The sequence below is a fragment of the Homo sapiens genome, chromosome 8, assembly GCF_000001405.40.
Source record: "Homo sapiens chromosome 8, GRCh38.p14 Primary Assembly".
In the NCBI taxonomy this organism is placed as follows: domain Eukaryota; kingdom Metazoa; phylum Chordata; class Mammalia; order Primates; family Hominidae; genus Homo; species Homo sapiens.
Window position 1 is genome coordinate 132,320,348 of NC_000008.11, and position 13,846 is coordinate 132,334,193.

At 46.9% G+C, this 13,846-nt stretch overlaps 1 protein-coding gene across 5 annotated transcripts in view; it reads right to left on the bottom strand.

Moving 5' to 3' along the window:
- Positions 1 to 13,846, bottom strand: part of KCNQ3 (potassium voltage-gated channel subfamily Q member 3) — a 360,235-nt gene that overhangs the window by 199,487 nt on the left and 146,902 nt on the right. The window contains exon 1 of one of the 5 annotated variants that reach the window (XM_017013400.2): positions 1,098 to 13,451. The exons of the other annotated variants lie outside the window; for them this stretch is intronic. Coding sequence (XP_016868889.1) covers positions 1,098 to 1,261 — 164 coding nt within the window. The 5' untranslated portion in view covers positions 1,262 to 13,451. Of the gene's footprint in view, positions 1 to 1,097; positions 13,452 to 13,846 lie in introns of those variants that run through there. 5 annotated transcript variants of the gene reach the window in all.

The window sequence follows — 13,846 nt, forward strand, 5'->3', positions numbered from 1 at the left end:
AAACAGCATGATCTTCACCTTCTTATCTGAATTCTGGCCTTCTATGGAGATGGTCTTTCTTGCCTGTTTTGCCGATGAAGCAACTGAAGCTCAGGGGGATTATGTTATTTGCCAAAGGTCACAGTGTCACCAAAACCCAGGACAGCTAGCTCACCACAGTCCATCAGCCAGAGCCACTTCCAATCTGAAATGTTCCCAAATTCTTTGTAATTCAGGTAATTCTTCCTGTCCCTATTACCCCATTCAATTCTGAGGGCTATAAACAGCTCCCACTCTACTCAGAGGAGAAGCTGGAACTTGATCTCCTGGAAGGAAATCTAATACATACTGACAGCCCCACTTGCTCAGAGCCAGAGCCCCTGAAATTACATTTAACACCAAGCAGAAAAGGGAAGGAAGGGCAGGCTTAACGAATCCAAGGCTGCTGTTATTTATAACAGAAGAGAAAACAAATGAATGCTGGTGCCTGATCATGTTTGCCACTTCTCAGCACCTCTGTCCAACCAGCAGAAGCCCTCTATTCACGTGCAACAGTGAGAACTTCCTTTTCACCCACAGTCCTTAGGGTTTTTCAGCTCTAGCTGCCCACTGGAATCACCTGGGTGCCTTTAAAAAACACATAAGTATGCAGAGGTACATGAAAACTACCCATAGAGAGTTCATATTCAAATGGTCTAAGACAGGACCTGGTCTTCATTGCTTTCTGAAAGCTCCCAGGTGATTTGAATGCACAGCCCAGGCTGAGACCACAGCTGTAGGTTGTGGTTATTGAGTAGTTGATTGGTTTGGAACATAGAGTCATCTCATGTTGTAGAAATTCCATTTCAGATGAATTCAGTCACAGAAACTCATGATGCCCAATCATAAGGTGTTGTTTCCCAAACCAATCCCTCACCCACTTCCAGTTCTTGCCAGGTTCTTAGTGCCCTACTAAAATCTGGATAAAGCCCTCCATTTTGCCTGCATAAAACCTAGCCTTGGCACAGCCATCTCACCCTGCTAAAACTAGGCCATGACACAACCATATTGTAGAAGCCCTTGGTGGATCACGAACACTATTTTCTCCTCCAACCTCCAACCTGACACGGAATACATACCTGAAACACGCTTCCTCCCTCTGCTTCCTCATTGAGGTCCTCCATGCCTGTGCCACCATGGCCCTCCTGCTTCTGTTTGCTCTCCCTTCCCACACAGACACACAAGGATGCTTCTCAGAAGTAGCCAAGCATACTGGGTCATTTCCTGGTTGGCTCTGAGTCATACGGGATAAAATGCAAACTTCTCAGCAAAGCACTTCACATTTTCACCTAGTTTCCTAACCACATTTTTCTGGGGTTACTCCATGTGATTTACACCCTAGCCAAACTCATCTATGTTGCATTTCCAGAACACACCATTCACTACCACACCCCTGTGCTTTGGCCCAGGCTGTTCTTTTCACCAAATATGCCCTCTACACCAGTGCACCTGGTGAAATCTGACTTGTTCTTTAAGATCTCTGACACCTCAGGGCCCACCTCCCCACCTGTACTGGCCGGGCCCTGGGCAGAGTCTCTTCCAGCATTACTGTTCACAGTCCCCCCTACTGCCCAATGGAGGAGGAGGTGCTATTTTTATGCCCACATGAGAAGTGTTTTTTTAAAGCACATTTTCTTGAAAATGACTTGGATGTGGCCTGAGGACAAGGTGTGGCAGAAGAAGGAGAGCGGAGAAAAGAAGTGAAAGAAGAGGGGCGGAGAGAGATAAGACGGTTAAGTCATATGACGGGTAGTGGGAGCAAGGGGCTAACAAAGAGACTTTAGCTTGCAATTCTTCGGTGGCATCTTCAACGAATAACAGAGAGGCCAATTAACCAGTTTGAATTGTTTGCTGTTTAGTGCTTGCTTTGCTTCTCTCATCTCTGCTAATTCCCTAAACTCTCAGCAAAGGTGACTCTATATGCAAATGCCCCAGAGAGTCATTTGGAAAGAAATCAATGCAAGGGGCTTGGAGGACATCCCTGCTGGCTCAGAGCAGAGTGATGAACAGGAACAGCAGGTGAGGCAGAACTGAGATGCAGAATTTACTGGGGCAGGAAACTCAGAGCCCAGTGACATGGAGAAGCCCATCTCCTCTCCACCCCACACCTCCTGAGCTGTAAGGACATGGGCAGAATTGAAAAATAGCCCTCTGGTATTCCCCGCATGTGTGCATATGTGGAATAGAGGGAGGTAGGTCCTACCTTTTATTTAAATCTCAAAGATAGAGTGACCCCAACAGGTACTTGGCTGATCTGCCAGAGCATGAGTACCACACAAGCCAGGCTTTCAGACAGGCGAAACTGGGCAGGCAGACGAATGTGCCTCTATACTCACTTGCTCAGCTCAAATATGTTTGCATGGGAATCTTGGGGCAGAAAGCTTTGTCCTCATCCCTCAGATGTCGGCTCAAGACTATACAGGCTTTTAAGCCTCCAAATAACCAAGGAAAAACAATCAAGTCATGAAGGCCTTTGAACACAGTTGGTGATGACCCATCTGAGAATAGAGAGCTCCAAAATAATTACATTTCCCCATGCAGCCCACAGAAAAGTGCCAAGTGCACCACTTGCAAGGTTACTGCGTTGGTGCTGAGTCGAGCAGTTTGGGCCCTTTGTTTCAGAGAGCAGTGCTTATGTCTGCAAGATACCAAGTACTCCCAGCAGTGATCCAGCTGGACGTGCTTCCCTGCCCATCACGGATCCGGGAAGCTTCCTCCACCCCAAGGAAGCAGGGAAGGCAGTTCACATTTTTAGGAGACCCTATGCCAAGCACTGAGGCCCGCACTCTTTATTAACAGCTCAGTGCCCTCTGTCTTCTTCCTCCAAGGCCAAATCTTGATTATGATCACTTAAAGATGAGCAGAGGATGAGGAAGAGATCTCCTGACCTCAGGATAGGGGACTTTAGCCCCATGGGTCCAATCCAAGGGGCTTGCAGGCCAGATCCAACCAATCCAGCCTGCCACCTGCATTTGCAAAGTTTTACTGGAAGACGGCCATGCCATTCATTTACACATTTTCTGTGGCTGAGTTCATGCCACAACGGCAGCACTGTGTAGCTGTGATACAGGTTATATGCGGCCCACAAAGCCCAAAATATTTACTTATTCTTTGGTCGCTTACAGAAAAAGTTTACTGACCTTTGACATGACTTGACATGTCCCAAATTGTATTGTTTTCCCCCAAAACCTGCTCCTAGCCTGTTTTAGAAAATGGCCGTAGGTGCTAAAACCACGATTGGGCTTATTGCTCGTTTCCATCCTCTCTCTGACTTCCCATTTCCATTAAATTAATGTGTCAACTGATTCTGTACCAAAATCTGTATTTCTACTATCTGTCACCTTTTTTCATAGCCCTGCTGTAGTGGAGTTGAGTTCTGTCCCCATTCTCAGGTAAGCCATCAAGACAACTGTGGGTCTCGGCCTTGCGCACCTCAATTCCACTGCCCCTCTCCTGCAGAAGTAGTCTTAAAAAAAACATATCTGATTTTGTCATTTCCTCCTTACGATACTTAATATGCTTTCATCACCTACAAAAGGAAGCACGCGTTCTGACCTTGGCAATCAAGACCCTCCAGTCTGACCCTTGACGATCTCTTCAGCCTCCTCTCCCATGGCTACTTCTACATCAGCAGTGTAGGGTTCAGAAATTCCACACTGCTTACGGTTTCTCTGAAGCCATCATACTGTTTCATCCCTCCATATCTTAGTTCTTCATGCTGTTCCCTCAGTCTGTAATTCCCTCTGGATAATTTCAATCTGAAATATCCTTCAAGCCATTCAATACCATGTTCAAATGTCAACTCAATCCCAGGAAGACTTCCCTGATGTCCTGTCCCGTCAGCATGGTCAGTTCACCTATTCTCCTCCTTTAGCTTATACATGCTTCAGTTTTTGTGCCTTTACTTCATTCTAATGTCCTTCCTTGGATCCTCTCTTCTCAGCAAAACTATAGAATTATTGAGACCAGGGACCCTATTTATATGCCTCTGCATCCCTAATCTCTAAGCACAACATCTAAAACTCAGTAGATATTTGTTAATTGAATTAAGTGAAGAAATGTGTGAATAAACAAATGGGCGAATGCAGACACAGTCATTATCCCCACATTGCCATCTAAGAAAACTCTTTCCACTCTCACCCTTTCTTTACCCCAGTAACTTGTCTCTAAAAAAGAACCAGAAGAAAAGGGGAGTGGACACAGTTTAATATGAGGACTAAGGCTAATGACCAAGCAGAATTTCCTTTTCCATTAAGCAACCATTTGTTGAGCACATACTATGTGCCAAGCATGTACCAAATTATTTACATATAATTATCTGAAACCATCGCATGGAGAGGGGTAAGGACAATGAGTAGATCAGCCCCATTTTTATAGGCTAAGGCTAGATAGTGACTTCCCAGGGTCTCCCAGTGAGCTAGTGATGGCTCCAAAGGTAGGACCCAGCTCTGCTGGCTCCAGAGCCCGGCGGTTGCCATCATAATGTGCTGCCTTCCTGAGCTTTCCTGCAACTCAGCTCCACTGAGTTCTACTTGTTATTTAATTTTGTGTGAAGCAAAGTTAGAGGCTCGCCAGCCTGAAAACAACCCAGAATAATTTTGTATTCGCTGTCCTAGTTAGTTTTTTTTTTTTTTCTTTTTAAGAAAAAATAAATCAGGGCAGCTTGTTCCCTGGCCTCATTCCCACTGTTTCTAGGATTGCCACACAACACAGCTTGGTAGGAGCCCTGGAGTGGGCAGAGCTGACGCCCACATGGTGATAGGCTGGCTTTCTCGAGCCTTGTCCTGGGGTCCTGGCGGTGTGGATGGGGAAAGACAGTTAGTCAGTCAATAAAAGGAAAGAAAACCACCTAATCATGAGAGCTGCAGATGGACTTCATAAAATGTTGGACTCACGGGATGCAGGAGAGAGAAGTGTGTTGGGGGTCAAGAGAGCTGGGTTCCGTCCAGGGTCTAATATAGGCTTGGGGCATTTGTCAAGACCTTTCCATTTCTGAGCCTTGATCCACACCTGAGAAAAGAGACGACTGGCTGGTGTCATGGGCTGAACTTTGTCTCTCTAAAATTAATACGTTGAAGTCCTAACCCCTAGGACCTCAGAATGTGACTGTATCTGGAGATAGGGTTTCTAAAGACGTCATTAAGTTAAAATGAGTTCATTAGGGTGACCTGCTCCAATATGACTGGTGGTCTTATAAGAAGATATTTGAACACAGACATAAACAGAGGAAAGAAAATGTGAAGACACAGGGAGAAGACAGCCATCTACAAGGCAAGGACAGAGGTCCCAGAAAAACCACCCTGTTGACACCTTGATCTTGGACTTCTAGCCTTCAGAACTGCGGGAAAATACATTCCCGTTGTTGAAATCACCCAGTCTGTAGTACTTTGTTTTGACAGCCCTAGTGAACTAATGCAGCTGGATGCATCAGACATCCAGCTTCTGCTCCAAGCTATGTCACCCAAGTGGATGTGTCTAATTCTGGGATCTCAACTGGAGAGAACAGGATCATGAGAGGCCAAAAAAGGTAGTCAAATACAGAACTGAAACTATTTAGGTCTGAGAAGAGAAAACTCTGAAAGAACAAACTTTCCTTCGTATGTCGAATGTAAAAGGGACAATATTTGTTGGGCTTTGTGGGAGGCAAGTGGCCACCCTCAATGGCTACTGCCATTGAGAGAGATATGTTGTCTCAGCATGAGGCTTGGATGTGCATTACTTTGAACTTCCTGTCTTTGGGGGCATTGAAGCAAAAACCCAAAGACAATGTGGTGAAGGTGATGCTGAGGGCTCCCACTGTGTCATGGTGGAAGGAGGAAGTGGCATGAGTGCAGAAGGTGGCGTGACATACAAAACCACTTCACAAAACTTTCTCAATAAGGAGACAGGCTACCAAATAAAGGCATAGGATTCCTGTGCCTGGAAGTCATCGGGCAGGGTTCCAAGGCCACCAATAGCAGGTGGAGATTCTGACTCTTGGTCAAAGCCTGGAACTTCATCCATCAGACAAATCTTTTGAGTGTCCATTGTGTGTTAGGCACAGTGCAAGAGAAGGAAAGATCCAGTCCCTGCCCCCAGGCAGTTAATACTCACTCCCTCATCCACAGCTACAGTTTGAATGTGTCTCCACCAAAGTTCATATTGAAATTTAAGCCCTAATGCAACAGTATTAAGGGATGATTGAGTCACAAAAGGTACCACCGTCATGAATGGGATTAATATCCTGATAAAAGAGCTCTAGGCTGAAGGGAACTATCTTTTGATCTCTTCCCTCCCCACTGCCAGGCAAGACACAGTGCTCCTCTCCAGAGGACTCAACAGCAAGGCACCATCTTGAAAGAAGAGCTAAGCCTTCATAAAGCACCAATCCTACCCATGACTTGTCTTGGGCTTCCAGCCTCTAGAACCATGAGAAATAAAGTTATGTTCTTTATAAACAACCCAGTCCCAGGTATTTTGTTATAGTAGCACAGAGGGACTGAGATACTCATTCATTTATTCATTCATTTACTCATTTGCCTTATCAAAGAGACTACCTCGACCATCTCACCTAATACAGCAACTCTCAGTCCTCTTTCCCTGTTTCATTTTCCACCCTAACACCTACAGCCTCCGGCCATATTCTATATTTACTGCTCATGTGTTAACCTCCTTCACTGAAATAAAAGTACCAAGACAAAGGAAGCTTGACTGTTTTTTTCATTGCTATACCCTCGAGCCTAAAAAGTCAATAAATAGTTGGTTCTGTCTATGTGCAAGGCATGGAGGCAGGTGCTGAAAAATCAGAGGTGAATTTGACAAATTTGTTCCCTGTTTTATGGCCTTTAACACATGCAGGATCTCATGTGTGAGAAGAAACATGCCAACCAAAGAAAACTGAGAAAACAGAAAGAGGTAATAGGTACTGAGGGAAGCACTCTAAGATCAGACACTCTAAAACCTTTTTTGCCTTATTTCTTTGAATTCCCATAGTGTCTCTATGAAGTTAGGTGCTATCATTATCCCTACTGTACAGATGAAGAAACCGAGGCTCAGAGAGATCAAGTAACCCGCCCCAAACCACATGGTAACAGGGTTTGATCCCAGATCTGTAGGTATCAGAGTATGGCCCTTAAGTCTGGATACCCAGGGACCCTGTCCTGGCTCTGGCTTTTGGGGTTCCACTAGAACTCTCATTCAGCTGTGCCCATCTGCATAGGGGAAGGAATCTGCAAGACCAAGGGGATGTGCCTACCTGGAGCCCATGTGCCCCCTGCTGTCCCACAACTGAGCACCCAGGACCCTGCAATTCCCTGCCTGACACCCCAAGTACCTGCTGGGCTCCATGGGCCTCATCCTGTTCTCTGCTCCTAGAAAATCCCAGGCCCTGTATGAGCATGAAGAGGCCTAAGGGGAAACCCAGAGGGCTGTTTTGTGGAGGATGAAAGGAGCTTAAATGTGTGGGCTGGGGGTCCACAGCAGGCATGTGCATGAAGCCCCCCATGGTGTGGGAAGGGAAGGGGCAGTCTGGGGTACAGAGGACCCCACCTGTACTTGTACTACAGCTCCCCACTCACAGAAATTAGGGGCAGGCCTCTCTGTGGGATCTAGGACCTGGGGCCTTAATCTCCAGACTCTATCCCACAACCACTATGTCCCCTCTACCCCAGAGCCAGCATGGGGGCATGGGTGATGAGCAGGATGCCTGCTCTCTGCAGTCACACAGGATGGCTGGGCTGTGCCATGTTCACCTGAACCAGTGAGGGAAGGTACTGAATCCAGATGGCTTGGAGGAGGAGCCCACATGATCAAGGCAAACACCCAGGAATAGGAAAGTGACATAAGGCACGGGCTTCCCATCAGCTGGCCCTCAGGACTCATTGTCTGCACACTCCCCTACACACCTCACCCCACTCAGTCTAACCAGGTTCCCTGCTGCAGGGGACAACAACACCCCCAGTGTCATAGTCATGCTGCCTAAGAGTGGGGATAGAGGGGCAAATCGACTGAGGCTATATAAGGGAGAACCAAATCCTTCACCTTCGGCAGGCCAGGCCAGCCTCATAATTAGAGAGACAAGATGGTGAGGTGGCTATAGGTGTGTGCTCAGGGAATGATCCCCTGAGTTCCACCTGACACTGACTCTGGACAGCTGGGTGAACACGCCCAAGTTACTTGAGCTGGCGCAAGTGATTTAAAGTCTCCTGCACCCCAATTTCCTTATCTGTAGAACACAGAAAATTATACTCTCCACCTCAAGTCTTGTGGTGACAACTAGAGAGTTAATATATCCAAATCTACAATGAGTATATAGAACAGTGCCTAGTACAGAGTAATGTTCAGTAAATACCATTTTTTACAATACTCCGTATCTCTTCTCTTCCCCTCAACTCGAGCACCTCCTTTGTCTTTGGGTATTATAGTTTCTGGTTCCTAAAAGTATCCACTCTACCACTCTTTCTCATTTTTACCTGCTCCTTCCTAGGCCACATCCTCTCTCCTGAATTACTGCAACACTTCCTAACAAGTCACATGCCTCACATTGTATCTCCCCAAAGTATTCTCAGGCCCAGGCCACAGAGACCTCCTGATAATGTAAATCTGCTGTCACATCTCTACCCGCCCATTCAGTTACTGAGCTCTTTACTATCACGTTCAGCAGGTACGCGCTGAGTGCCTACTAAGTGCCAGGCATTCTCTGAACACTGGAGGAGGAGGATTGAGCACCAGTAAACAAGAACATTGCCCTTATGGAATTTCTCATGGAGGAAGGCAGACAATACACAAATAAGCAAGAAAGTAGCAGGTAACGCCGGGAGATCTGCAGAGCATGAAAATAGGGCAACAGGCAGGACCTTTGTAAGCCCTAAGATGTCTCCATGTAATTGAGAAAATGGCACGCCTTCCTCCTGGGTGAGGCACCCCCAAGTGCTGTTCAGCCCCCACTCACCTCCTCCACCAGCCCCACCATGTGCTGCAACCCAGGTAACGAGGTGCTGTAACAGAAAACACTTAAATGCTAGAATCCTCCAGTGCTGAATTTGCAGCTCCAACCAAGTCCTGGACGGATTTCTAATTCTGTATATATAGCAAAACGTCTGCTAGTAGAAAAGGATACTGGATTCTGAGATTCTCTTGAAATAAACCTTCATTGCCATCAAAGGCGACACATGTCTTTCTGGATTTCAGAGGCCATGCACACCTTCTCAGCTCCCATCACAACATACGACAGTGGTCGGTGTAGCTCTGGTCCTTCCCACATCCCAAGGCACCCCCAGATAGCTCTAACTAACCATGCCAAGCCTCTGCGAGAAAACCTTCTGTGGCATTGTATTACCAAGAGGCTGGCACTCGGTCCCTCCCAGATCTGCTCTTGTTATCTCTCTAGCTTTGACACAGTGTTCCCCAAACTCTAGAGGACAAACAAAGCAGCTTGATTATCCAGGCCTAAGAAGACAAGGAACCGCTCTCATCCTCAGGACTACCCCACATGGTTGTGCAAGGTGTGCCCTCGCAACTCATGAATTAGGCCCCCTGGAGTTGTTCAGTGCACACCCTGTGCAGCTGTGTATGGCAGACCTGGGTAGTTAGCTGAATGGTGGCCCCCAAAATATAGGTCTACACCCTGGAGCCTGTGAACGAGATCTTATTTGGAAAAGGGTCTTTGCAGATATATTAAAGTTAAGGATCTTCAGATGAAGAGATCATCTGGATTATCTAGGTGAGCCCTAAATCCAATGACAAGCATCCTTGTAAGAGACATCCAGAGCAGAGGTACATAGAGGCAAAGGCAAAGTGAAGATGGAGTGGAGACTGCAGTGATATGGCCACAAGCCCAGGAATGCTGGGGCAGGCACAAGAACCCAAACGAGGCAAGGAATGGATTGTCCCATAGAGCTCCCAGAGTGGACAAGACCCTGCTGGATTTGGGACTTCTGGCCACCAGAACTGTGAGAAAATAAATTTCTGTTGCTTTCAGACACCAGATTAATGGTACTTCATTATGGCCATCTCAGGGAATGAATAATGCCTGCACCAGGTCTTAGTTTAAATGCCATTTGCTCGAGGAAAACCTCCAGGGGATCTATCTCTCTCCTGCAGCTGTGCTGAGTGCTCCCACTATGGGGCTCTCAGGCACATCACCTTCCTCTCGACACCAGCCCTTTTGCCATTTGGGGGACTCTAGTCTGTGACTTTGCCCTCCACTCCTGGGCTTGTCTCAGAAGTGGGAGATGGACATGTCAGCAAAAACTCACCCGTGTCCTCCAAATGCAAGGGGTTCTTTTTCAAAATCTTGAGACCCCAAAGGCAAAACATTAGGAGCTGGGAAGTAAGTGAGAGTTCCCTAGTCCCTGATTTTCTGCAGCCAGAAACATGTGTGGACACTTTATAAGGCTTATATAAGATGATGGTGATACACACTTGCAGCTGGAGGAAGATGCAGCAGCTGTCAGGCCACCTCAGCCCTGGTGGTTTTCCCAGGCCACACTGGGCAGTCTGTCAGTTGTTGTGTCCCAGAATTGAGAGCCCCAGGAGTCAGTGGCAACTGCCGGGTCTGATGGACATAACTTTCCTGCCCTACATCTTCTCCATGATCAGCACATCATAGTGATAAAGGCAGCGTCCACTGGGGTGGCTTCTGATAAGCCACGAACCTGAATGTTCCCATTTGTCCCATTTTTCCTGGCTTCCAGTCCCCTTGGGTGGCTGGATGCTGTGCCCAGCAGGGGAACAGGAGAAGCACTATTGCTAACACTCATGGAGCACCTTCTAGGAACCAGGCACTGTCCTGTGCCCTTTACCAGGAGAACTCCATCTAACCTCAGGACAACCCTGTGGTAACAGCTCTCTCTGTACACTGCAGATGAGGAATTTGAAAGTCTAGGTGGAGAGTTTCCCAAAGTCACAGAGCTCGTAATAAAGGCCCTGAGATTCAACCTCAGGCTCTCTGCTTCCGAAACTCATGCTCTTAACTTAGAAAGCCAGAGTTAGCCTCAGTCAGGGTCTCAGCCTCCAGGAGGATCACCCTTGAGGGCTGACTCAGTCTCACCTGCAGAGGACCCAGCTGAGACTCAGGGGTGCCCTCATATGGCCACCCGTGGGGCCTCTGGTTTGGAAGAAATGGCATCCCATGGTTAACATCTGGCCTCTTACTCTAGCAAACAGACTAGGGAAAGTCATAGCCTGGGCAGCTGTGGCTGCTGCTTCCTCCCCTCCCTGTCCCCTCCCCTCTTCTCTTCTGATTTCTCCTCTTCCTCCTCCTCCTGCTCCTTGTTCTCTCAAAAAATATCTATTGAGCACCCACCGTACTGAAGGACCTGTGTCCACTGGGAATTTAGCATTGTAAAGGAGACACAGCATAGTATAATGGGATATAAATAAGTAAACAGGAAAAATGAAATAAATATTATACCCATTGCTGCTGCAGGAGAGGAAGAGATTTCCTTGATGGGCTACTTTGTTTATGGCACTGAGAATCTGTCTCACAAAGGCTGAAGATGAAGAGTGACTGGAGAACTCCGAAGCAGTCCAGAAGTCTCAAGAGATCTGAGTCATCAGGGCATGCCAGTCAGAAGTTCTGTGGTAGACAGTGGTTGGCAGTCTCTAAGATGCTCTGATCATGCTTGCCTCCTGACAGTCACACCCTTGTGCAATCCCCTCCCCTTGAATGTGGTCTGGATTTAGTGACTTGCTTATAATGCATAGAGTAGGACAGAGTGATGGGATGTCACTTCTGATTAGGATATAAAAAGACTTTGATGTCCTTCTTGGGGGCCTCCTTGCATGCTCTCTCTCACTCTTGCCAGCAGGGAACCCAGCAGCCATGCCATGAGGCAGCCCATGGAGAGGTGCCTGTGGGGAGGGACCAGAGCCTACCCAAAACCACGAGTGAGCCTGGAAGCAGACTGTTCCTCCCCACTCTAGCTCTCAGATGAGACTACAGCCCCAGCAATAGCTCCGGAGAAACACATAAGAGACTTTGAGCCAGAGGTACCCAGATAAGCCATGCTCCCATCAGAGGCTGGCCAGAAATGCATTAGGCATTATTCTCCTGCAGAAGGCACCCACTGCACACAGTAGGACAGTTCTGACATCCAAACTGTGCCACCTCTACCCCGAGCACTAGTTCTATCTTCCAGGAACACACAGAGATGATGAATCAATTCCTTTGCCATATGATAGTCTTTCAGGTGTGGGAAGTTGGTGACCTAACAGTGGGTTCCCCTATTCTCAGTTTTCTTCACTCCTAGCCACACTTTTCTAACTGGTTCTCAAATCCTTCTCTGTCCTTGTGTTTCCCCACAACACAATATCCCAATTATGTTCCCATAATGTCAAGCCAATTGAGCTGTCTTGTTTCTGGCTAGCAAAGCTTTGCTCAAGATGTGCCCTCCACATGGAATTCCCTTCCTCTTTCTTGTCTGGCCCAACTTACCACGACTGTTCCAAGAATCCTTTCTGGAGCCTGCCCCCTCAGTCTAGCTGGACACCTCCCTGGTGCAGAACCTGTCCTTCCTGCTGCACTCACCTCTCTTCATTGCATCGCTGTGCCATCATGATGTGTTTGTGGGTTTGCTCCTGTAACTGTGAGCACCTTGAGTTCTGGGAAGGACCCATGGTTCATCTTTGAATCCACAACACTTGTTCAGAGTGAGAGGATGGATGAATGGATTGGATGGATGGATGGATGGATGGATGGATGGATGGATGGATGGAAGATGAACAAAGGAAGAGAGGGGCATCCTCCTTAGTAGACAGGGTTCCATTGGCATTCATCCTCAGTGCTATCCTTCTGGGTATGTGCACTTTGTAAGGAAGCTTCTGTGCCCTTCAAGATAAAGCCTGGACAATTCCTCATGGCCTAAAGCAGAGCAAGCCTTACCAACCCCTCTAAGTCCTGCAGGTACAAGTGTCATGACTTCAGTGGTAAGAAAGTTCAGAGAGAGAGAGAGAGCAAGCGAAGAGAAAACAAGAGAGAAAATGAGCCTAGGTTAAAATATTTAAAACATTTCCATACTTCCTGGACTTATAAATATTTCATTAGTAAGATGCTGTCCCACATAAATGCAAACTCAGGGGAAAGGGTCTTAGGAAAGCTGGGAGTCAGCATTTTAAGGAAGCCGATTTCCCTTTATAAACATAATACCTTCTCACTGTAATGTGGAAAACAGAAATACAAAGAAGAAAGAAAAATTGATGTATTACTTAAAGTCCCATCACTCAAAACCAACCATTTTTAGTATTTTATAAATTTTTGACCTATGGATTTTGTATATTTGGGGTGGTTGCATGATACTACATATTCTCTTGTGTGCCTGGATTTTCTTATTTTCCCTAAACATAGTAATGTAAACTTTGTCCTATGTTACTGTGAACTCTTTATGAAACAAATTTTTTTTTTTTTTTGAGACTGAGTCTTGCTCTGTCACCAAGGCTGGAGTGCAGTGGTGTGATTTCGGCTCACTGCAGCCTCCGGTTCCCGAGTTCAAGTGATTCCCCTGCCTCAGGCTTTGGAACAGCTGGGATTACAGGTGCCCACCACCATGCCCAGCTAATTTCTGTACTTTAGTAGAGACAGGGTTTCACCATGTTGGCCAGGCTCGTCTCGAACTCTTGACCTCAAGTGACCCTCCCGCCTCAGCCTCCCAAAGCATGTGAGCCACCACACCCAGCCATGAAACAAGTTTTAACAGGACTACATAATATTCCATCCAGGACATGTACCAGCTGGGAAGTCATCAAGGCCTCTGTGATACAGTGGCAGAGACAGGTGTAGTTGATTTAAATCTTCCCATATTGTTGGGCATTTAGGTTGCTTCCAATTTTCTTACTATCAGAAAAATGTCAA